The following is a 23,934-nucleotide window of genomic DNA, read 5'->3' as shown; positions in this document are numbered from 1 at the left end:
CATCTGCCCATTCATCCATCCATTCACTATTTATTGAGTGCCTTCTATGTGCCTGGCACCGTGCCAGGAATTCACTGGTGAACATGATCCATTAGAAATCTGCCCTTGTCGGCTGGGTGCAGTGGCTCACTCCTGTAATCCCAGCACCTTGGGAGGCCAAGATGGGCCGATCACAAGGTCAGGAGATCGAGACCATCCTGGCCAACACGGTGAAACCCCGTCTCTATTAAAAAAAAAATACAAAAAATTAGCCGGGCATGGTGGCGGGCACCTGTAGTCCCAGTTACTCGGGAGGCTGTGGCAGGAGAATGGCGTGAACCCGGGAGGCAAAGCTTGCAGTGAGCCGAGATCGTGCCACTGCACTCCAGCCTGGGCGACAGAGTGAGAGACTGTCTCGAAAAAAAAAAAAAAAGAAGAAGAAATCTGCCCTTGTCGAGTTTACATTCTGGAGGGGTGTTCAGACAATAAGTAAACAAAGCAATAAATATTACAATTGCTTTTTGGGTAGGTATATTAAGCCATTGCCCAGGGGGTGCAATTTGAGCACCTTTTCTGGATAGGGCAGTTACAGGCACATGTTATCTTCTAATTTAATTCTCATTACTACCTAATGAGGTTGTTACTATTAATATTCATGTTTCACAAAGAGGCAAGCAGACTCAGAGTAGTGAGGTAACGTGCCTAAGGTCACACAGCTGGCAAGCATCAGAGCTGCGATTGAAACCCAAATGTAGCCACTGATCATGGTGGAGCATCAGGAGGAGAAATTACTGTATTCAGGGCCTTCTGCCTCTTTTGTTCTGGGCCTTGTACCAATGTTGGGGCCATTGACACACAGGGGTCTCACCCACACAATCACACTCCTTGCACCTGCTCTTGGTCTGATGACTCAGATATTCAGGAAGTGGGATAAACTTTAACCCAGCTCATCCTTGCTGGGCCCCAAGACAGCCATGCCTTCTGCTGGGCTCACATCTCTGCCACTTGTTCAGGCCTTCCATCAGCAGGGCAGCCACAGAGTTTCAGAAAAGATCTTCTGGATGTAAACAGAAAAAGCACCTGCGGGTAAAGGGATGGGCGGCCACCTCTGGGCTCATAAGAGCACCAAAGAGTCTGGACTCAGGTGTCCACACTGCCATAGATTTGCTGTGTGACCCTGGGCAAGTCACCACCTCCCTTTTGATCTTTGTTCCCTTTCTGTGCTGCCTGCTGGTAGGGCTTGTGCCTGCTACAGTCACTCATCCAGATGTTTCTGAGAACCTACCATGTGCCAGGTTTTGTGACAGCCCCCAAGGAGCAACTAAGCACAGAATTATAGTTCCAAGAGACAAGCCACAAGGTGCTATGAGAATGTAAAATGGGTTGGCCTGATCTGGATTAAAGGCTACAAAGGACTTGCTGGGGGAGTGACATTTCCCCTGAGACTTAAAGGAGGATTAGAAGATAACTAGGTGCAAATATGGAAAAGGGATTCTTGGCCAGAGGAACCGCATCTGCAAAGGCCCCAATATGGGAAAGAGTTTGCTGAGTCAAGGACCCGGGAAGTCACCCACATCGCTGGCACCCAGAGTGAGAGGCATACAGTGCAGGACAAGCACAGGGAGGTCAGGGGCTGGGTTTTGCAGGGTCTTGGAGACAGCAGTGGGATTTGGGACCCCGAGCAGAGGGAGGTGGGGAGCGAGTAAGCTCCAGGGAGCCCAGATATGCATGAACTAGGCTGCGTAGACCCACTTTTTGGGCTGGGGGCTGCACAGAGGGCAGTCAGGTGGGACACTGGAGCTTCAGAAACAGACTTAACCTACTTCATAATATTGCCAGGACTAGATTGTGTAAGACAGCATGGGTTAGTGGATAGGAGGATGTGGGTCAATAGCTTTAGGTAGACCCTGGAAATTTACCCTATGGGAGGGCAGGGCTCAGAGCTTTGTGTGAGCAGCTATGTAATTTGTTTATCCCTTTGGTTTGAGCATCCTCTTGGCCAGGGGTCCTAATCTTCAGTTAGAGCTCTGTCAATTGCAAGTAGCAGAGAACCTGGCCTGAGAAAAGGGAATTCATTGGCTCCTGTGTTTGAACAGCCCAAGGGCAGACCTTCAGGTATGGCTTGATCCAGGGTCTTCACTGATATCACCAAGATCCTGTTTCTCCACTTCTCAACATGACTTCCTTGGATATGACAACATGTGCAGATCCCTCAACAAAAATGGCATTGACAGCTCTGCATTCCATCTTCATCCCTCCAAGAGCCTCAGAAAAGAATCCGCAGGCTCTTCTTAGGACTTTAGGCCATGCACAGACTCTGATTGACCCATACTTAGACTAGTTAGTGGCCAGAGAGACAGAATGTGCTGGCTGGCTTAGTTTAGGTCCTATGTTCCATTACTCATATCCAGGGTGGAGATGGCTTCCTTGAAAGCATAGAGAATGAATGTGAGTGAGGGGGTTTCCCACTCTAGCAATACTGGGGCATTGTTGCCACATAAAAGGGAGAGGTAATAAGCTGGATGAGAAGAGCCACATATGTCTATCATAGGGAGGGGCCCATGATCCCCCGGGGGTGAGAGCATTCTGGGGCCTACCTGGGGAGTGGAAAACGTTGTCTCAGCATTGCTAGGCTTTGAGATAAGGGTCAGGGCTAGGAGTCAGTCAGGAAGACAAAGTGAAGAGTCAAGGAGAGGTGTGGTCACTAGAAAGCAGAGACCTGGAGGAAGTGGTGGAGGTCAGGGAAGACTCACAGCATGTATGGAGTTCTGAGTGTACAGATGTGATATGAAGAGCTTTGCATGTCACAGGGAGGTGTGCCCACACTGATCCAGGATGGGATGGGGATGCTCACCTTCAGTCCCACTTTCCCACTCTAAGTATCTGGGGAGTTTCTCTCCATGACCTGCCAGTGTATAGAGGTCTCCTATGGTTTCAAACATTGGAGAGTGGAAGTCTGAGAAGATGAGTAGAAGGGCCTGGGTCTCCCTCTGTGTAGGCTGTGGGCTGCCATTGGCCTTTGTTGCAGATGGATCAAAGTTCCATGAGTACAGAGAGAAAGAGAAACAGGATCCTGTTGACATTTGAGCCCCTGGATCAAGCCATGCCTGAAGGTTGTCCACCTACTGGGCAGGCAATATAAAATTATCTCTGGGTACCCAGGTGCTTCCCTCCTGGCTGTCCAGCCCTCCACTTATGAACCTGGCACTTTCTGGGCAGCAGCCACACTCCTGGACCTCTTTTCAGTCTGAGAACCCACTTTCCCCATCCCTTCCTTCCCAGACCCTTGTACTCTTAAGGCGACCCTATGTCCTGGTTTCCCTGGACTGTTTTAATGTCTATTGTCCTTGTGTAATTCTTCATAGTGCCTCTTTCATTCTCAAAGTATCTTGCTTTGGATAATAAATAACAGTCACTTCACACATCCCTCCATTCTGACGTTCCTGCTCACTTCCTTTCTCACTGCAGACCTTACAGGCCTGAGAGCTGTTAAAACTTGAATCAAAATTATTAGCAACAACAACAAAATCCAGTCTCTCTCTACCAATGCAGGAGAGACTTAGCCTTTGACAATACCTCTCTGAGGTTTGTTTACATCCAGTCCTGGCAAAAGGCCCTTTCTGCAACGATATGTGACAGGTGAAATGATTCCTTCTGAAGGAGAAAAAAAAAAAAAAAGAATTCTCACATCAAAACAGCTTCAGTCCTGAGGGTTTCCCTGCCTCCACCCACTCCATGTTCCTGTTCCCATTCATTCTTACAATAAACCCCTTGTTTTAAGGTAGCTTGTCTGAGTCTCTTTTTCCTGCAACAAAAAGAGGTGTACCTAAAATAGGCCAGGGCCTGGGCCAATGGCCAAATTTAGATGAAAAACTGGGTCAGGCAGGAGAGGGAGCAGCAGGCTGGGAACTTTTGAGTATTGGGGCTAGACAGCTCCTGCTGATGGGGCACTTCCTCTGTGCCAGCCCATTAATTTATTAAGTAGTAAAATTAATCTTATTTAATTTTCTTACTGTCCTTTGAGGTAGGGACTGTTATCTACAGTTGATAGAGAAGAATACTAAGGCTCAGAGAGTCAGGATTTGGGTATCCTATCCCAGTCCTCTCCATCCAAGATCTGCAGGTTGGGGCACCAGGGCAGACTTCCAGAACACAAAAGGGTAGTGGGAATCTTGGCCATCTGGCATGGAGACGCTCAGCCTGCATGGCCCAAGCTGGAACTCTTCTGCACAAACAGGTCTGTAGCTTTCTTCATCATTTTTAAGTGAATTTGAGGAGTGTGGAACAGCCAGAGATCATTGTTTTAGCTCAAATGAATTTAAGCAAGATACGGAAAATGTAGTTAGATCCAGGTTCTCATGTGCTATTGACCCATGTGGCTGGCACTCAGTTCTCTCTCCATCTCTCTTTCATGTGTTACTCCCTCTACTAGGTATAAAGAATGGTCACAGGCAGTCCCAAGCTTCATCCTTACAGCTTGTAATCCATAAGGTCTAACTATCTGTCTGTCTGTCTGTCTGTCTATCTATCTATCTATCTATCTATCTAACTATCTATCTATCTATCGCTCTTCCTCTCTCTCAGCTTCCACATAGAAATCCAACTAAGGATTTGGATTGGCTCTGCTTGGGTCACATGTTCACCTCAGGACCAATCACTGAGCCCAAGAGGACACTGACATGGGTGCTAGGATTGGCTCAGCCTGGTCACAGGCCCTCCGCTGTGGTGAGGAGGGCAGACAACAGTGATTAACAGCCTCTGGGGAGTGAGGGAGGCATGGTTTCATCAAGGAAGGGACGCTAGTGGTCAAAATCAATACATCCACCATGCTTCAAAAGATATGTAGCAGGGATACCTAGTTTAAAAGTTTTTAATGTGTATTTCATTTTGCTTTCCTGAGTACAGATTTTTATCTCTACCACGCTAGGCATCCATTAGTCTGGGTGAGATTAGAATTTATTACAGAAAATGCAAAGAGAAAGACAAGTGATGTTAAGCTTTAGACATCAAAATTAGATTATGTACCAGACGATAGCCTTAAGGAAGAATTCTACAGGTTCCTTATCTTTGAGCTTATGAATAATTGTGCCAAACATCTTAGAACATAGAGTTTGTCTGTGGATTGCAGGGTCTGTCCCATCTGCCTAAAACCGTTGGGTACCCCTGATAAAGAGAGGACATGATGGAGGTCAGGAGATCGAGACCATCCTGGCTAACGGTGAAACCCCGTCTCTACTAAAAATACAAAAAATTAGCCAGGCGTGGTGGCAGGTGCCTGTCGTCCCAGCTACTCGGGAGGCTGAGGCAGGAGAATGGCGTGAACCCAGGAGGCGGAGCTTGCAGGGAGCCGAGATGGCGCCACTGCACTCCAGCCTGGGCTGCAGAGCGAGACTCCGCCTCACAAAAAAAAAAAAGAGAGAGAGAACGTGATGTAGTGGAAGTAGAAGAAATGTCTGCCTGTTTTCTGACTTCTCCAATGATATTTCTCTATAACATGCATCAATGGTTATTATTTCTGTTTAAACGTGTTTTTAAATGTGTTTAAAACAAATAGGGGAAGATATTAGAACACATAACTTGGACACTGATGGTTAATTTTATGTGTCAGCATTGTGGGGAGAAGTGGGAGCAAAATGGGAAAATCCTCTTCCCATGATATTTCTCTATAACATGCATCAATGATTATTATTTTTGAGCACCCACTGTCCCCCTCAGGCATTGTGCTATGAGAGAGATCATTTGTTGTTTCACTATCCCTATGAAATAAGCATTTCTATCATTCAAACTGTTGGTTGTGAGCAAGTTCTGTCAAACAAAATGTGTTTAAAACAAATAGGGGAAGGTAGCCAGGTGTGGTGGCTCACGCCTGTAATCCCAGCACTTTGGGAGGCCGAGGTGGGTGGATCATGAAGTCAAGAGATCAAGACCATCCTGGTCAACATGGTGAAACCCCGACTCTACTAAAAAAGTACAAAAATTAGCTGGGTGTGGTGGCACGCACCTGTAGTCCCACCTGCTTGGGAGGCTGAGGCAGGAGAATCACTTGAACCCAGGAGGCAGAGGTTACAGTGAGCAGAGATTGCGCCACTGCACTCCAGGCTGGTGACAGAGCAAGACTCCGTCTAAAAGAAAAAGGGGACAGTATTAGATCATATAACTTGGGACACTGTGATGGTTAACTTTATGTGTCAACTTGACTGAGCCACAGGGTGCCCAGATATTTGGTCAAACATTATTCTGGGTGTGTCTGTGAGGGCGTTTTTGGATAAGATTAACACATGAATTGGTAGACTGAGTAAATTTTCTTCCCTGCTATGGGTGGCTCTCACCCAATCCGTTAAAGGCCTGAATAGAACAAAAGGCTCATACTCCTACAAGTTAGAGGGAAATTTTCCTGACTACTGGCATTGAGCTGGGACACTGATCTTCTCCTGTTTTCCAAATCAAACAAAAACATGAGCTCTTCTTGACTATCCAGACTGCTGGTTCTTGAATTGCTGCAATCTCATACAACTTTAAGCTGGGTGTGGTGGTGCACACATGCAGTCCCAAGCTACTTGGGAGGCTGAGGCAGGAGGATCACCTGAGCCCAGGAATTTGAGGCTGTAGTGAGCAATGATCACACCACTGCACTCCAGTCTAGGTGCCAAAGTGAGATTTTAACTCTTTGAAAAAAACAACTTAAATGAATGGTAAACTGCTTCTTATAGATGAACAAAGTAAGTGTATTTTGAGGTGGAACCTACTGCTGGTGAAGATGCTGTGAACATCGTTGATATGACAACAAACATTTAGAATATATATATATACATACATATGTATGTATATATATATATATATATATTTTTTTTTTTTTTTTTTTTTTTTTTTTTGAAGTGGAGTCTCACTCTGTGGCCCAGACTGGAGTGCAGTGGCACAATCTTGGCTCACTACAACCTCCGCCTCCTGGGTTCAAGTGATTCTCTTGCCTCAGCCTCCCAAGTAGCTGGGACTACGATGCCCACCATCACACCCAGCTAATTTTTGTATTTTTAGTAGAGATAGGGTTTCACCATATTAGTTAGACTGGTCTCAAACTCCTGACCTCAGGTGATCCACCCACCTTGGCCTCCCAAAGTGCTGGGATTACAGGCATGAGCCACTGCGCCTGGCCACATTTAGAATATTTCATACACTTAATAGCTAAAGCAGCAGCAGGGTTGGAGAGGATTAACTCAAATTTTGAAAGAAGTTCTACTGTCCATAAAGTGCTATCAAACAGTATCATATGCTTCCATGAAATCTTTAATGAAAGAGTCCATCAATGTGGCCAACTTTATTGTTGTCATATTTTAAGAAACTGCCACAGCCACCCCAACCTTCAGCAACCACCACCCTAATGAGTCAGCAGCCATAAACATCAAGGCATGACCCTCCACGAGCAAAAAGATTACAATTTGCAGAAGGCTCAGATGATTGCTAGCAATAAAGTATTTTTAATTAAGGTATGTACAGTGGTTTTTAGATGTAATGGTATTGCACACTTAATACACTATAGTGTAACTTTTACGTGCACTGGGAAATCAAAAATTCCTATGACCCACTTTATTGCAATATTTGTTTTATTGAGGTGGCCTGCAACCAAACCTACAGTATCTCTGAGTTATGCCTGTGTATATTATTTGGAGAACATTGACTAGTACAGATACTCAGCCGGAATTCTGGATACGCTTCAGGTATGGCTGTATCCAGGATCTTTAACAATGTCATTAGGCTCCACCATCTCTTGCCAGATCTTAGACAAGAGTTATTCATATGGTACATGTGATGGGTGACACTGGCAACCCTGGCTCATGTCCTAAACGTAGCCACCTTAAGAAAGAAAGAACATCTCCCTATATTCACCTGATTAGCCTCCCTTGGGTCATGTGTCTATTCCTGAACCCATCACTGTGATCCAAGGATGTGATACAATGGAAGGGCACCAGGATTGATAAAACCTAAGGAGTCCAGGAGTCTTACAAAGCAAGCCTGAGAGGAACACAAGGATGGATCAAGTAGGCACTGTGACTATGCCCGTTTTACAGTTGAGGAAACTGGCCCAGAGTGTTTAAGTGATTGGCCACGTACAAGCCTCAGAGCTGGTAAACATCAATGCCAGGATTTAAGCCCAGGCCTCTCCACAGGGCCTTAATTCCTTCTCCATACTACCTCTCACCCTTTAGTCCTGGCCAAAAGCCAAAATCTTCCAACACCCCAATCCCTGGTCCTCACATGCAGGTGCCCACCCTGCACCTGGCACATAGTAGGGGTGCAGTAAGCTTAAGTACTGCCCCTGCAGCTGGACACAGCCCTCAGTGCCTTGCTACAGGCAGCTCTGTCTAATCTGCCCCATCAGATCTTTATTTGGATCTTTCTCCCTGCCTCAGCTCTGAGAAGGAACCCGAGTGACCAGCTGAGCCTGCCAGGCAGTTGGCATCAGTCCCCACCCAGCTGTCCCCATCCTCTGATACATTTTTATTCCTTTTGAGAACTACCCAATTTAGACAGCTCAAAAACAGATGTTTCTTAACAACTATAGTTTCCATGGGTATTTTTGGTTCTCTAATCTTGGTAAATTGTTGGGATTTTGCTGGTTCTCTGGGTAGAAGACAAAGCTGCTTCCATCCAAGCCTCGCTTGTTATGATGGGCCTTGCTATGGCAGCAGTGAGTTGGCAGAATACTTAGACACAGCATTCGTATCTATTGCTGCAAGCAAATCTACCCCAGAACTTGGCAACTTAAAACAATAAACAGTTGTTGTCTCACAGTTCCTGCGGGTCAGAAATTCAGGAGCAACTTTAGTCTGAGCAGTTCTGACTCTGGGTCTCTCATCAGGTTGCAGTCAGGATGTCAGCTGCAGCTGCAGTCTCATCTGAAGACTGAACTGGGGCTGGAGGAGCTGCTTCCAAGATAGGCCACTCACACAGCTGCTGGCTGGAGATCACAGGTCCTCACCACATGGGTCTCTCCACTGGGCTGCTTGAATATCCCCACGACATGGCAGCTGGCTTCCCTAGAGTGGGTGATCCTCAAGAGAGCGAGGAGGGAGCCACAATGTCTTTTATGACCTTGCCTTGGAAGTTGCACACCATCACTTCCACTTTGTTCTATTCATTAAAAGGGAGTCAGTAAGGCTAGCCCACACTCAAGAGATGTAGAATTAGGCTCCATCTTTTGAAGGAATTATCAAAGACTGTGTGAACATATTTTAAACCAGCACAGACAATATGATATAATGCAAAACTTGCCTCCAATTCTTTACCCTTCTTTGTATTCTCACCCTTGCCAAGCGACTTTGCAGTTCCTCCCGTTAAAAGAACAGAGTACCATTTCCCACCTATTGACCCTGGGTTTGGCCCTGTGACTTGCTAGGGTCAATAGAATGAGGCAGGAGTGACTCTGTGTGGTCCTGAGTCTAGGCCTCAAGAGACTTTGTGTGTTTCTGCTCACCCCCTTGCACTCCTGCCATGAGCAGGAGGGGAATATGCCAAGGCTAGTCCACTGATCCCAGGACAGGATGAGAGACACATGGATGAGCACACAGCTGCCCAGCTGAGCCCAGCCTGGCTCAGCCAACCCACATTAGACATGCGAGCTAAATCAACACTTACTGTCCTACAGCACAGAGATTTGGGGGATTGTTTGTTACACAGCATTACCATCACCACACTTAACTGACAGAGGCATGTGGGCTTGAAAGTCAGCCAGTCTTGGCTTCAAGTGTCAGCTCCCCCACTCTTCAGCCACGTGACCCTGGACAAAGCACTTCACTTCCCTGAGCCCCCAGCGACCTCATCTGTAAAATGGGTATCATGACATCACCTCTCTCATAGAGGCTTTGTGATGATTAAGATCATGCCAGTAAAGTGCTTTGAGCACCATCCTGCCCCATTGTGATTATTAGGAATGACACATCTGGGCCTATTGTCCCAATATTGATGTGCAGCCAACAGTAGGATTAATTCTCTAGCTCAGACACCTGCTATAGCTCCCTAGTTCCAGGTTCTCCAGTGTGGTCTCCCAAGGCTCCCTTCCCCCTCTCATGCTCACTGACCACTCACCCTCAGTCTCTTACCAGCCAGGACAGGCAGCTGATGAACATCTTGGACCCAGAGCTCCAGCCCCACACACCCGTGACCTTCCCTCCACACCAGGCCACCTCGTTGTCCCTGCTCAGCTCCTATGAGACTGTGGGACAGTCTCTAACCTCCCTGGGCAACTCATGTAGGGGTGGATGGCACAGGCTATTGAGTCAGCCACACTGGGCTCTGAATTCTGCCTTCACCACTTACCAGCTGGGTGACTTTCGGAAGTGATTGTACCTCTCTAGACTTCTGTTTACTCACCTGCAAAATGAGGGTCATTATAATACTTAGTTTATCAGGTAGTTGTGGGGATTTGATACTATCAGACATATAAAATCATTCTCCTATGCCAGGCACGTTTAAAGTGTAAGTACTGGTAGTTAGCTAACATTTACTACAACTAACAATAATGTCTCCATCTGTGAATGAAGGGGCTGGATTTGTCTAAAGTTTCTTTGGACACTGACGTTGGAAGCATAAGCTGAAGGGTTTCTGTGTGTGGGAGTACAAGGAGAAGAGTCCCCATGGACAGAATTCCAGGTTGTCACTTCCAACACTATTATCTGCTTTACATACTGGGATGCTTTATGTGAGGTTATCCAGGAAACAATTTCTTTGCTTAAAAAAAAAAAAGTTTGGGGCCAGGTGCGGTGGCTCATGACTGTAATCCCAGCACTTTGGGAGGCTAATAGGGGCAGATCACCTGAGGTCAGGAGTTCGAGACCAGCTTGACCAACATGGTGAAACCCCATCCGTCTCTACTAAAAATACAAAATTAGCAGGGCGTGGTGGCACATGCCTGTAATCCTAGCTACTTGGGAGGCTGAGACAGGAGAATCACTTGAACCTGAGAGGCAGAGGTTGTGGTGAACCAAGATTACACCATTGCACTCCAGCCTGGGCAACGAGAGCTAAACTCCATCTCAAAAAAAAAAAAAAGAAAAAAAGTTTGGAAACCACTGGATCAAGTGGTCTTTAAGGGCCTTCCCGGCTTTCCCTTTTGGGATTTCACTGCAAGAAGCCAACTAAAGGCTGAGCAGTGGGTACAAGGGGCTGCAGCGCTTAAGTTCAGCCTCTAGAAACTTCAAGGGCCAAGCAAAAGTCATTCCCTGGCTCCAGGCGTGGTGCAGTGCCTCTATGATCGCCACCCCCCGGAACACCCACTCTCTGATGGCTTCTGTCCTCCAGACCTCGCCATGCTCTGTTTCCTTTTGTGTATTTAAAACCCACTTCTTGGCTCCCAGCCACAGTCTGCTAGAAGTTAACAATGTGGAGCGGGGAGGTTGAAGACGCAAATCAAATAAACTCCCTGAACTGAAACCCCAGCAGTAGGAATCTTCAGAGGGCTGGCTGGTTCAGGGAGTGGGCTTTCCAGCTCCCTGTCTTTTTTGATCTTTCATTAAGAGCTTGTTTTGATTCTGTGGTTGCTACGATACGGGAGCATTTGGTGGCTGTTTCTAAGAGGCCACGTGGATGACTGTGTCTGTTCCACCTCATCACAAGAACACAGTGGGTGGCCAAGCTTGGAGGCTAAGTGAGGAGGGTAGGATTGGAGGTCAGGGACAGGGGCTGTTTAATGGGGTCTACAGGAGGAGCTGAGCTGGCTCCAAGGTGTGGCAACCACAACCACTGTTACCCACCCCATGGACATTGCCTGCAGAGTCTATTCACCTCTGACACGCTGGGTGACCTACAGAAAGTCTCTCCACCTCTCCGAGCCACAGTATACTTATCTGTCGAAGAAGGTGACTGAATGACATGTGCCTGAATGACCTCACAAGGGTGAGGAAAAGAAGTGGGACAAGAAAAATGAATCCTAGTCGAGTGTCGTTACAGGCTACACATCATCTCATGTCATCCTTACGACACCGCCATTTCATGGATGTAGAAGGTGAGACCCGGAGCAGTGCAGTGACCTGTTCAAAGTTGCACAGCCTGGGAGACGAGGCTGGGACAGCTCCACTCACACCTCCCATGCTCAATGTTTTTCCATTTTTAATTTTTTGTGGATACATGGTAGGTGTATACATTTATGGGGCATATGAGCTATTTTGATAGAGGCATGCAATGCATAATAATCATATCGGGGTAAATTGGGTATCCATCCCCTCAAGCAATTATCCTTTGTGTTTCAAACAATCCAATTATATTATTTTAGTTATTTTTAAATGTACAATTAAATTATTGTTGACTATAGCCACCCTGTTGTGCTACCAAATACTAGATCTTATTCATTCTAACTATTTTTTTGTACCCATTAACTATCCCCTCTTTCTCCCCTAACTCCACCCCGCCATCTACCCTTCCTAGTCGCTGGTAACCATCCTTCTACTGTCTCCATAAATTCAATTGTTTTAATTTGTAGCTCCCACAAATAAGTAAGCACATCCCCATGTTCAAGTTTTAGCTGCATAATAATTATGTTAAACACCTCATAGTACTAAGCGCTTCACAGACACTAATAGGTTAATCTTCACAACAACCTCTAAAGGAAGTACTGCTATTATCTCCATTTTTCTGGATGAAAAAACAGCGTCCTTAAGCAACTTGCTCAGTTGCTCAGCCCGTAAATTACAGATTTGGAATCTGAACCCAGTCAGCCCAGTTGCAGAGTTCTTGCTCTCGGCACGGTCACAAGGCCCCTCAAGGAGAGGTGGCCACCAAAAGAAAGGAAAGGGCTCCGGATGCACATGGTCTAATCACGGCAGCAAGGTGTACAGCAGCAGCCACTGGAAGCAACGCAAGTGTCCATCAAAACGGGACTGGGAGGCGGGTGGATCACGAGGTCAGGAGTTCAAGGACAGCCTGGCCAAGATGGTGAAACCTGTCTCTACTAAAAATACAAAAATTAGCTGGGTGTGGTGGTGGGCACCTGTAATCCCAGCTACTCAGGAGGCTGAGGCAAGAGAATCACTTGAACCCAGGGGGCGGAGGTTGCAGTGAGCTGAGATCACACCACTATAGCCTGGGCAACACAATGAGACTCCGTATCAAAACAACAACAACAACAACAAAGAGAGACTGGATTAATAACTTGCATTATACATATGCAGTGAAACTGTGCACACCAGCTAAGATGAATGATCTAAATCTACTATATGTGACAATATACAGTTGACCCTTCAAATATGGGTTTGAACTGTGTGGGTCCACTTATTCCTGGATTTTCTTCCATCTCTGCCACTCCTGAGACAGTAACACCAAAGCCTCCTCTTTTCTTCCTCCTCTGCTTACTCAATATAAAGATGACCAGAAGGAAGACCTTGATGATGATCCACTTCCACTTAATGAATAGTAAATATATATTCTCCTCCTTCTGATTTTCTTAATAATTTTTTCTTTTCTCTAGCTTACTTTATTGCAAGAATACAATATAGAATACCTACAACATACAAAATATGTGTTGTTCCACTGTTTACGGCGTTGGCAAGTCTTCTGTTCAATGGAAGTTAAGTTTTGGGCGAGTCAAAAGTTACAGGTGGATTTTTGACTGCATGAAGGAGTCAGTGCCCCTCCCTCCCTCATTGTTCAAGAGTCAACTGTAAATAAGTCTTGGAAACATAATGTTTTTGTTTTTGTTTTTGAGACAGAGTCTCACTCTGTTGCGCGGGCTGGAGTGCAGTGGCATGATCTCGGCTCACTGCAACCTCCACCTCCTGGGTTCAAGGGATTCTCCTGCCTCAGCCTCCTGAGTAGCTGGGATTACAGGCGCCCACCACCACGCCCAGCTAATTTTTGTATTTTTAGTAGAGACAGGGTTTCACCAGGTTGGCCAGGCTGGTCTCGAACTCCTGACCTCAAGTGATCCGCCCACCTCAGCCTCCCATAGTGCTGGAATTACAGGCGTGAGCCACTTGGCCTGGCCTTGGAAACATAATGTTAAAGGGAAAAATGCAATTTGCTAAATGAATCACAGAGTTTAACATTTACGGAAAGTGTGGAAACAATACTATATATTGTTTGTGGTTAGGCACATGTAGTTAAAGTAAAAAAAAGATACAAAAAGATACAAAAAAAGTAGGAGGAGAAAAGGGAATGGTGTCAGGGAAGTACCCAGCAGGCTTCCACTGTAATGTAACATTTTGTTTCTAATCAAAAGAATGTCTGAAACAAGAAATGGACAAATGTGCTTTGAAAAGTACAAGCTGGGCCCTATGGCTCACACCTATGATCCTAGCACTCTGGGAGGCTGAGGCAGGCAGACTGCTTGATGCCAGGAGTTCGAGACCAGCCATTACTAACATGGTGAAACCCCTTCTCTACTAAAAATACAAAAAATTTACAGGCACACACCTGTAAAGCCAGCTACTCAGGAGGCTGAGGCACGAGAATTGCTTGAATCCAGGAGGAAGAGGCTGCAGTGAGCTGAAATGGCACCACTGCACTCCGGCCTGGGTGACAGAGCATGCCTCTGTGTCAAAAGAAAGGAAAGGTGCAAAAGATGGGACCACATGGCACACCAAGACTGCTGTGATCACAGGTCCCCCTTACAAGGAATGGGTGCACCAGAGAAATCCTGCCCCGTCCCCGGCATGCCCCCACCTGGATAGCGCAGGTGGTTGGCCTCTGTCACTCAACCAAAGGGAACTGCTTCCAGCCTTTTCCCTCTTTCCCCAACTCCTCACACTAGACAGAAGGAATGTTCCCCAGGGCCAATTGTGCCAGGTGACTCTCTTCCTTAGAATTCTCCCATGGCTCCCCAGTGCCCTCAGAAGCAAGCCCACACTCCTTTCCAGGGTCAACATTTACCTCCATAGCCTGGGCCCTGCTGCCTTGCCAGCCTCACCTGCCACCATTCTTGTTCCCACACCCTGTAGAAGCCACAGTTGCATGCAGAGCCACCTCCATTCCCTCTCGTCCAGTAGTTTTTCTCACCTTGATAATTTTGCATGTGTGACCCCTTGCTCTGGAAAAGGCCCTTACCCCCTGCCAGCCTTGTCGGTCTGATGCCCGGAGTCCTCACCACCATGCACAGTGCATCCTAAGAGAAGCCTGACAGGCCTTGCCAGGAGATTGGCATCAGCCACCTCTGGATGAAGGAAGGGCGGGCCATTTCCCATGGCCCCATCCTACTTTCCCGCAGTTCCCAGACTTATTGTGGTGGTTGTTGCTAACAACTCACATGTACAATCAGTGGTAAAATTCAGCTTCTTTCATTCAAAACCAAATGAATGCCACCAAAATAGCTTCATAAGACAAAAGGACAAAATGACACTTTTCTTCCCACTTAGTTCACAAATGTCCCCTCTGGCTAACCAAAAGGGTACCTGTTCCATCTGCTCTTTCTGTCCTGCCTCCTCCTCCTCCTGAGTTCCCAAAGCCAAAAGATTGCAGGTAGTAAATGCACCCCAAATTCCCCCCGCTTTCTCCTCCCTGAACTAACAAAAGGAAGCAAGGAGGTTAGGATTCACCTGTATCTGTGTGTGCATTTGTGTATGTGAGTGTATGGGTGCTCACATATGGGTACACAGAAAAAAAAATCTAAAAAAAAAAATTCCTTTCCTATTTGTGACCACATATCCTTTTTTTTTTTTTTTTTTTTGACACAGGATCTTGCTCTGTCACCCAGGCTGGAGTGCAGAGGTGTGATCTCGGCTCACAGTAACCTCTGCCTCCCAGGTTCAAGAGATTCTTGTGCCTCAGCCTCCCATGTAGCTGGGACTACAGGTGCACACCACCATGCCCAGCTAATTTTTGTATTTTTTGTAGAGCCAGGGTTTTACCACATTGGCCTGGCTGGTCTCGAAGTCTTGGCCTCAAGAGTTCTACGTTTCTAACAGAGTTCCATTTCTAATAGAGTTGCTACATATAATACATGTCAAATATTTATCTAATACATATGCACATACTACATGCATATGCATTTGTACAGGTGTGTTTTAGGCACCCAGGTCTCACTGCTTGCCAGATAACAAAGTTCTTCCCTGTGGACCTCTACTTCCCCATCTATAAAATGGGAGACTTCATCCCCTTCATCCCTGACCGTTTATCTGAGTCTGTCTCATGTAGAAGGTGGAGGCAAACACCTACTTTGCATGATTTGTCCTAAATTTTCACCTCCCTGTCTGCAATCCTGCTGGAAATCCCATTAGTGACCCCATCCACTATCCTCTTTGGAAATGTCCTTATCCCTAGTATGAATATCTGTAATTCCCTACAGTTTTCAACCTGGGGTGATTTTGCTCCCAGGAGACACTTGGCAATGTTTGTATACATTTTTGGTCATCAAGTGTTGGGGGTTGCTACTGGTCAACTGGCTGGTAGAGGCCGGGGGGTGCAGTTAATATCCTGCAGTGCACAGGGCAGCCCCCACCACACATCAAGAGGAGTAAAGTTGATTGCGAAGCCGAGGAGGGCAGATCGCTTGAGCTCAGGAATTCGAGATGAGCCTGGGCAACATGGAGAAACACCATCTCTACAAAAAATAAAAAAGTTAGCGAGGTGTGGCGGTGCATCTGTGGTCTCAGAGACTCAGGAGGCTGAGGCAGGAGGATCACCTGAGCCCAGGGAGGTTGAGGCTGCAGTGAACCCTGATGGTGCCACTGTACCCCAGCCTGGGTGATGTGAGACCCTGTCGCAAAAAAAAAAAAAAAAAAAAAGCGGTGAAGTTGAGAATGAGTAGCCCTGCCTAGAATGAAAGCATTTATTGGATACTTTCCTTTACACTCTCTAGACTGAGATGCTTGGAGTGTTCTGGTAGTACCCAAGGTAGAAGGAAGCATTACAAGTTTAAAAATGGAGAAATTATGTTTTTATGCAGCAGCTGGGCACCAGGCTATGGATTCATCACTTTGTAGGCCACATCTCCTGCCAAGCAAGCCACATGCACCCTGTTTCCAGATGAGAATGTTGAGACAAGGTTGGTTAAAACACGCAGTTCTGAAGAGTTACTGTAACAGATTCTGGAGTCTGTGCTCTGGAAGGGAGGAATGGGGGTGGTCACTAACTCGAGGAGAGGGAAGCATTTGTGCCTGAACAATGAGAGTTGTTTTCAGATGAAGAAATCGGCACATGTTGAGAGAACAAGACAAGCTTTTTATCCGAGTGCTTGATTTTCATTACAATGACAGGTGTCTCCATGGCTTCGTGCTTGGAAGTGACTAATTCTAAGGAGTCTTTCCTGTTGGTCAAGTCCTAGTCTCTGGGTTTGACTACTCATTCATTCATTTGATCTTTCATTCATTCAATAAATACCTATCAAGCCTCAACTATATACTGTGCTCTGTGGATATATTGAATGCAAAATCAGGCGTGGCCCTTGCCCTCATAGAGCCTAGGAAAAGAGATGGAAATGAAATCAAAGAACTAAATAAATACATATAGAGCAACATGTGTGATTAGGGCTTCCAAAGAGAGGTGAGCAAAGCAGAAAATAGCACATCAGAAGATTGGCCTGGCCATAGAAGCCAGGGAGGACGCTGGGCCGAGATTCGAAGCCTGCATAAGGGGGATAATTACGTCAGGTGTGGTGGCTCACGCCTGTAATCCCAGCAGTTTGGGAGGCCGAGGCAGGCAGATCACTTGATCTGTCAGGAGTTAGAGACCAGCCTGGCCAACATGGTGAAACCCTGCCTCTACTAAAACAAAATTAGCCGGGCATGGTGGTGTGCACCTGTAATCCCAGCTACTTGGGAGGTTGAGACAAGAGAATCACTTGAACCTGGGAGGTGGAGGTTGCAGTGAGCCAAGATCATGCCACTTCACTCCAGCCTGGATGACAGAGCAAGATTCCGTCTCTAATAATAATAATAATAATAATAATAATAATAATAGGAATAATTAGGCAAACTGGGGGAAAATATGTTTCAGGAAAAGAAAACAGCATATGCCAGAGTCCTGTGGCTGGAGGACTCATCAAGGGTACACAGGACAGAAAAAAAAGTTTATATACATGGTAGGAAGCTAAAGAGACAAAGCAAGGGCTGGTCCACACAGGTCTTGTGAGTTAGTAATTAGGATTTGTATCCAGAGGGTGAAGGGGAGCCATGGCAGGTTTAAGCAGGAGGGTCTCATGATCAGATTTGCATTTTGAGATCCCTCTGACTTCTGCATGGGATTTGTAGGGGGACAGAGGGAGTGCAGACAGACCTGTGAGAAGTGCTGCTGGGGTTGTGTGAACAAGAGAGGATGCGGGCCTGGATCAGGGGATTGGTGAGAAGTGTGTGAATTTAACAGAAATTCATTAGCTCAGATGGGTGATGGAAGTTCAGGAGAACTGCATGAAGAACTCATACACCCTTCTTTTGGGATCTCCTTCAGGGCTGCCCTGCCAAGGCTCCCAGATGCCCGCGGCCATCACCAATCAACTCCCCTGCTCGAGATGGGGAGCAAAGATTTGGTTTTAGGAAGCCACTATTGTGGTGGACTGTGGCTCCCACCTGGGCCTGGCTTCCAGCCTGGATTCCTCGCAGAGCCTGTCCAGGGCAGCCACAGGACGCAGGGACTCTCAGCCCTGCACACTCGGGGCTTCAAAGGCCACAGCAAAGGGGAGGCCCAGAAAGAGCTATTTCAGGCTTCCTATTTTTAAAGCCGGGGTCAGGGTGCCCTGCTCACCACCAACATTTCCAGTACTGGAAGCTTCAAAAACTTCAACTCCCTCCAGCCCAGCACCAGAGACAGGCTCTGTGCACAGGGCTGTGCAGTGACCATGGGCAGCCAGGAGAGAGGCCTCCAGCATGGGTGGAGGAGGTTTTGGAGTGCCGTGGTGCAAGAAAAGCCAGAGAGGTTGACCACCATGGGTGGGATAGAGCCCTGGGTTCAAACCCAGCTTTTTCATTTTCCACCAGCATGGCCTTGAGCAAATCATCTCCCCCTTTCTGAGCCTCAGGGGCTCCCCTAGAAAATGGGAATAAGCCACAGGTGGTCATAGGTGGAAGCGTGAGGACATCAGCCAGCAATCACTTAATAAATGCCTCCTGTGAGCCTGTCATGGTACGCGGTGGTGGTAATGCAATTGTGAACAAGATGTGCTTCACTGAGCTTTCATTCTAACAGGGAAACCAACATTAAAGAAAAATTGAAGGCTGGGGGCCGTGGCTCATACCTATAATCCCAGTGCTTTGGGAGACCGAGACGGGAAGATTGCTTGAGCTGAGCCCAGGAGTTTGAGACTAGTCTGGGCAACACAGCGAGACCCCACCTCTACAAAAAATAAAAATAAAAAATTATCCGGGCATGATGGTGCACACCTGTAGTCCCAGCTACATGGGAGGCTGAGCCAGGAGGATCACCTGAGCTCAGGAGATCAGGGCTCAGTGAGCTGTGATGGCACCACTGCTCTCCAACCTGGGCAAGAGTGAGACCCTATCTCTAAAAAGAAGAATATAGTTTGCCTCCTGAATATATAATAATGATGAATATAAAGTATGCCTGGAAGAAAAGGAGGATTTGGCCAATATGTGGACCAATCTTTTTGACAGAAACTGCTATCTCAGGAAATGGCAGCGTGAGCCACCTGGTTGATGTTTCCTAATTCCTGGATTAATGGAGAGAAAGAAAATTTAAGCCCAATCCACTCAAAGTTGCCTTCTTTAGTGAAAAAAAGAATAACAACTTTATGAAGAAACAGCATTAACTATAAACTGGTCTTGGAAAAGGAACATATCACCCACCTATTTTCATGAAAGATGCAGAAAGGCGAACAGTTTAAAGAAATACAAAACCCAAAGGCAATGGTAGCCAAGTGCAATGGCTCACACCCATAATCCCAGCACTTTGGGAGGCTGAGACAGGAGGATCACTTGAGCCCAGGAGTTCAAGATCAGCCTGGACAACATAGCAAGACCCTATCTTGGCAAAGCAATGGTTCTCAAACTTGGGTTTACAGTTGGGACACCCCTCCCTCCCAAATTGTGATTCAGTAGGTCTAGGGTAGGACTGAGAACTTGCATTTCTTTTTATTTATTTATTGAGACCCGTTCTCACTCTTTTGCCCAGGCTGGAGTGCAATGGCGTGATCATAGCTCACTGCAGCCTTGAACTCCTAGGCTCAAGTGATCCTCCCACCTCAGCCTCCTGAGTAGCTAGGACTACAGTTGTGCACCACCATGCCCAGCTAATTTTTTATTTTTTATAGAGATGGGGTCTTACCATGTTGTCCTGGCTGGTCTCGAATTCCCGGCCTCAAGCGATCCTCCCACCTCAGTTTCCCAAAGTGTTGGGATTATAGGCCTGAACCAAGGCTCCTGATCGGAACTTGCATTTCTAACAAGACCCCAGGTGATGCCAGTGATGCTGGTTTGTGGTTCACACACTGAGAACCGCGGCTTCAGGGAAGCTGGGAATACCTTTGGAGATTCACTAATATGAGCCCTGCTTCACTGAGTCTCTTTTCTCACAAGGGGAGACAGGAAGCCCTCGACAGCCTCTTAGGGGCAGAAGGGTCTGGTTTTCAGCTTCGTGCTGGGAGGAGCTTGGGGCAGCCTCTGAGCTCCTTCCCATCCACATCCCCAGCCAGCTGCTTCATCACTTGGGAGGTGATGGTCAACCTGCCCAGCACCTCAGTCCCACCTTGATAGAAACCAATTCCATTGCTGTAGCAGAAGATGGGTGGAGTGGAAATCCATATTCCAGGGGATTCTGAGGCAGGCATCCCATCCTGAGCACGCATGGTTCTCCCCACTGGTTGAGATCTTATCTGAGAGAGAGAACGTGCTCCTCTCCACCTGTGTTTTTTTAAAACCCCACCACTCCGCTCACCTGGGTTGTCTTTGCTTTGAAGACTCACCCCTAGTGGTTTTCTTATTTCAGCCCAGGGTGCACCAAAAAAGCAAGAAAAGTTTTGTTCCTCCCATGTCAAGGTCCTGAGACTCACTCCACAGAATGATCCTGTTTTCCAGAAAAACTTGAAACACCCCAGAGGCCAGCGATGGCCAAGGAAGTGCAGAAAACCCCTCTCCTAGGGCTGATGACTGTGTTTTCAGCTTCTCCCGAGATCAGTGACTGCATCTCCACTTCTACTTTCCAAGGCCTCCCCACGGGTGGGGCATTTTTTAGAGTCACTGCCAGTCAGGAGTGAGAGGGACAGAACACAGCACCCTTCGAGGACTCATGATGATGAAAAGAGAAACTTCCTGGAAATTAAAAAAAAAATACAGAAAAGCACAAAGCAAATGGCAACAATTGCCTAAATGGCCCATACCACAAACTCAACATTTTTTAATAATCTGGCATGTTTTCCAGTCTTTTCTATGTGCATACTTCAAAAAAGTTATGTAACTCATGTATCAAAATCATTAGCATTTCGTTTAAAAAAGAAAATTGGATAGCAGCTATGTTAAATCTTTCTGAAAAAACAAACATTACGTTGATTTATGTCTATTGCTGGATAAGCTGAAGGAAAGGTCAGCAAGCCATGGCTTGTAGGACAAACCTGGCCGATACTTCATTTTATACAACCCATAAAATACAAATAGTTTTTACATTTTTAAATGGTTGGGGAAAAATCAAAGGAAGAAACTCATGTGTTCTCACTCATATGTGGGAGTTTAAAAAGTGGATCTCATGGAGGTAGAGAGTAGATTGGTGATTACCAGAGGCTGGGAAGGGAAGGTGGGGAGGGAAGGATGAAAGAGAAGTTGGATAATGGTACAGAAATACACTTAGATAGAAGAAATAAGTTCTTGTATTCAGGCCGGGCACTGTGGCTGATGCCTGTAATCTCAGCACTTTGGGAGGCAGGGGCAGGTGGATCGCTTGAGCTCAGGAGTTTGAGACCAGCCTGGGCAATATGGCAAGATGCTGTCTCTACAAAAAATACAAAAATTAGCCAGGCATGGTGGCACGTGCCTGTAATCCCAGCTACTCAGGAGGCTGAGGTGGGAGGATTGCTTGGGCCCAGGAGGCGGAGGTTGCAGTGAGCCAAGATTACGCTACTGCACTCCAGCCTGGGTGACAGAGTGAGACCCTGCCTAAAAAAAAAAAGTTCTTGTATTCAATAGTACAGCAGGGAAATTATAGTTAACAATAACGTCTTACAGATTTCAAAATATCCAGAAGAGGAAAATTGTGTTGGGCAATGTCCCCAACACAAAGAAAAGATAAAAGATAAATGTTTGAGGGGATGGGTATCCTGATTACCCTGACTTGATCATTATATATTGTATACGTGTATCAAAATATCACATCTACCCCAAAATATCAATATATTTTAAAATGTAAAAAGTAATAAAAAATCTGTGTAATACATGACAATGAAATTCAAATTTCAGCGTTCATAAAGTTTTACAGAGGTACAGCCACACCCATTCATTTACCTACTGCTGCTTCTACGTGATGCCAGCAGGGTTGAGTAGTTGCCAGAGACCATACTGCCCCCCAAAATGTGAAATATTTACTACCCAGTTCTTTACAGAAAAAGTTCGCCAACACCTACTCAAAGTCTGGTCGGTGGTAATTGTTTGTTACCAATCTGCGATGAGATAAACACAGAAATTGAGAGTAAGACTTTAGAGGCCAGGCACGGTGGCTCACGCCTGTAATCCCTGCACTTTGGGAGGCCGAGGTGGGTGGATCACCTGAGGTCGGGAGTTCAAGACCAGCCTGACCAATATGAAGAAACCCCATCTCCACTGAAAATACAAAATTAGCTGGGATTACATGCTGAGTCAGGAAAATCGCTTGAACCTGGAAGGCGGAGGTTGTGGTGAGCCGAGATCGTGCCATTGCACTCCAGCCTGGGCAACAAGAGCAAAACTCTGTCTCAAAAAAAATGAGAGAGAGACTAAAGAGAGACTAAGACTTTAGAAACTTTTGGCTGGGCATGGTGGACTCACCCCTGTAATCCCAGCACTTTGGGAGGCTGAGGCAGGAAGATCTCTTGAGGCCAGGGGTTCAAGACCAGCCTGGGCAACACAGTGAGACCCCCCCCCGCTCCCGCCCCGTCTCTTAAAAAAAAAAAAGACTTTTAATAATTTGACAGTCTGTTTTAACTGTTAATATAAAAATTTTAAATTGGGGATGATTGTTGTATTTTTCATTTTCATTTCTGGTAATTCATTTTTATATATTCTACTAACTTTTCAGTCCATAAGGTATCAAAAAAGGTAAAATACAAAAACTGATCCCTCACTACAGATGTTTTAAAAAATTCTTATAAATATCAAACATTGTTCTGTAACTTGCCTGTTTTTTTTGTTTGTTTTGTTTTACCTCCGGGAATGTTTCTGAGATATGCCCATGTTGAATATGTAAGGTGTTGTGTATCCCTTTTGTCTGTGGCATGATGATATTATTGCATGCTGATTATTTACTCATTCCCCTTCTCATGGACATGTAGGTTATTTCCAGTTTTTTGCTAGCACAGACAATGCTGTTCTGAGCATCCTGTACCTATCTCCTGGTACAGATGTGGGAGAGATTTTCCAGGGTAAACACCCAGTGAAGAAATAGCTGGGTCTCCAGATTTCTGCATCTTCAACATTACTAGAATCTGTCAAATTCTAATTTTTGCAAAGTGATGGCACCAATTTACATCACTGCAGAAGCGCTTCAGAGTTTTTGTTCCCCAATCCTTGCAAACATTTAGTATTGGCTGATGTCTGAGTTTGGGTTTAAAATTATTAGTAAGCAAGCTTCAGACCTTCATAAGCGTTGAGGAGGTGGTGAGAGGTTTTACCTTTTCCCCCTCCCTCCCGCTGTATCTCCAATTTCCTCCAGTTTCACCTGCCTGCGCTCCGCCCCCCGCAACCCCGCCACCCCCTCTGAGCTGACCTGGCCTGGGGCTGCACCTGTACCTGATTTTCATAAAACCTCCCTCCCGGTTCTCATGCACACCCCACGGCTCAGCATCTTGGGTTCTCTCAGCTCCACTAACCAGGGGCTGCCCTAGGAGGGAGCAGGACTTCCTGG

The 23,934-nt window shown here is 46.3% G+C and overlaps 1 long non-coding RNA gene across 1 annotated transcript, besides 3 other annotated features; it reads right to left on the bottom strand.

Annotated features, from left to right (window-relative positions):
• Positions 751-800: an enhancer, noted in NCBI's record as "active region_18786". NCBI's record gives its function as "activates an Ori minimal core promoter by ATAC-STARR-seq in GM12878 lymphoblastoid cells {active_cell/tissue: GM12878}" and the evidence as "EXISTENCE:reporter gene assay evidence [ECO:0000049][PMID:35858748]".
• Positions 7,246-13,643, bottom strand: LOC124905094 (uncharacterized). Its single transcript, XR_007068036.1, has 2 exons — positions 9,613-13,643; positions 7,246-9,029 (listed from the first exon to the last, which is right to left on the bottom strand). It is a non-coding gene; the product is annotated as an uncharacterized LOC124905094 (long non-coding RNA).
• Positions 13,991-14,491: an enhancer, noted in NCBI's record as "H3K27ac hESC enhancer chr22:25868693-25869193 (GRCh37/hg19 assembly coordinates)". NCBI's record gives its function as "activates a minimal SCP1, AML or CMV promoter by ChIP-STARR-seq in naive H9 embryonic stem cells {active_cell/tissue: H9 hESC(naive)}" and the evidence as "EXISTENCE:reporter gene assay evidence [ECO:0000049][PMID:30033119]".
• Positions 14,492-14,992: an enhancer, noted in NCBI's record as "H3K27ac hESC enhancer chr22:25868192-25868692 (GRCh37/hg19 assembly coordinates)". NCBI's record gives its function as "activates a minimal SCP1, AML or CMV promoter by ChIP-STARR-seq in naive H9 embryonic stem cells {active_cell/tissue: H9 hESC(naive)}" and the evidence as "EXISTENCE:reporter gene assay evidence [ECO:0000049][PMID:30033119]".

This window comes from Homo sapiens, chromosome 22 (genome assembly GCF_000001405.40).
Source record: "Homo sapiens chromosome 22, GRCh38.p14 Primary Assembly".
NCBI classification, from domain to species: Eukaryota; Metazoa; Chordata; class Mammalia; order Primates; family Hominidae; genus Homo; species Homo sapiens.
The sequence above is the reverse complement of the archived record's forward strand: the minus strand, read 5'-3'. Positions and strand labels throughout refer to the sequence as shown.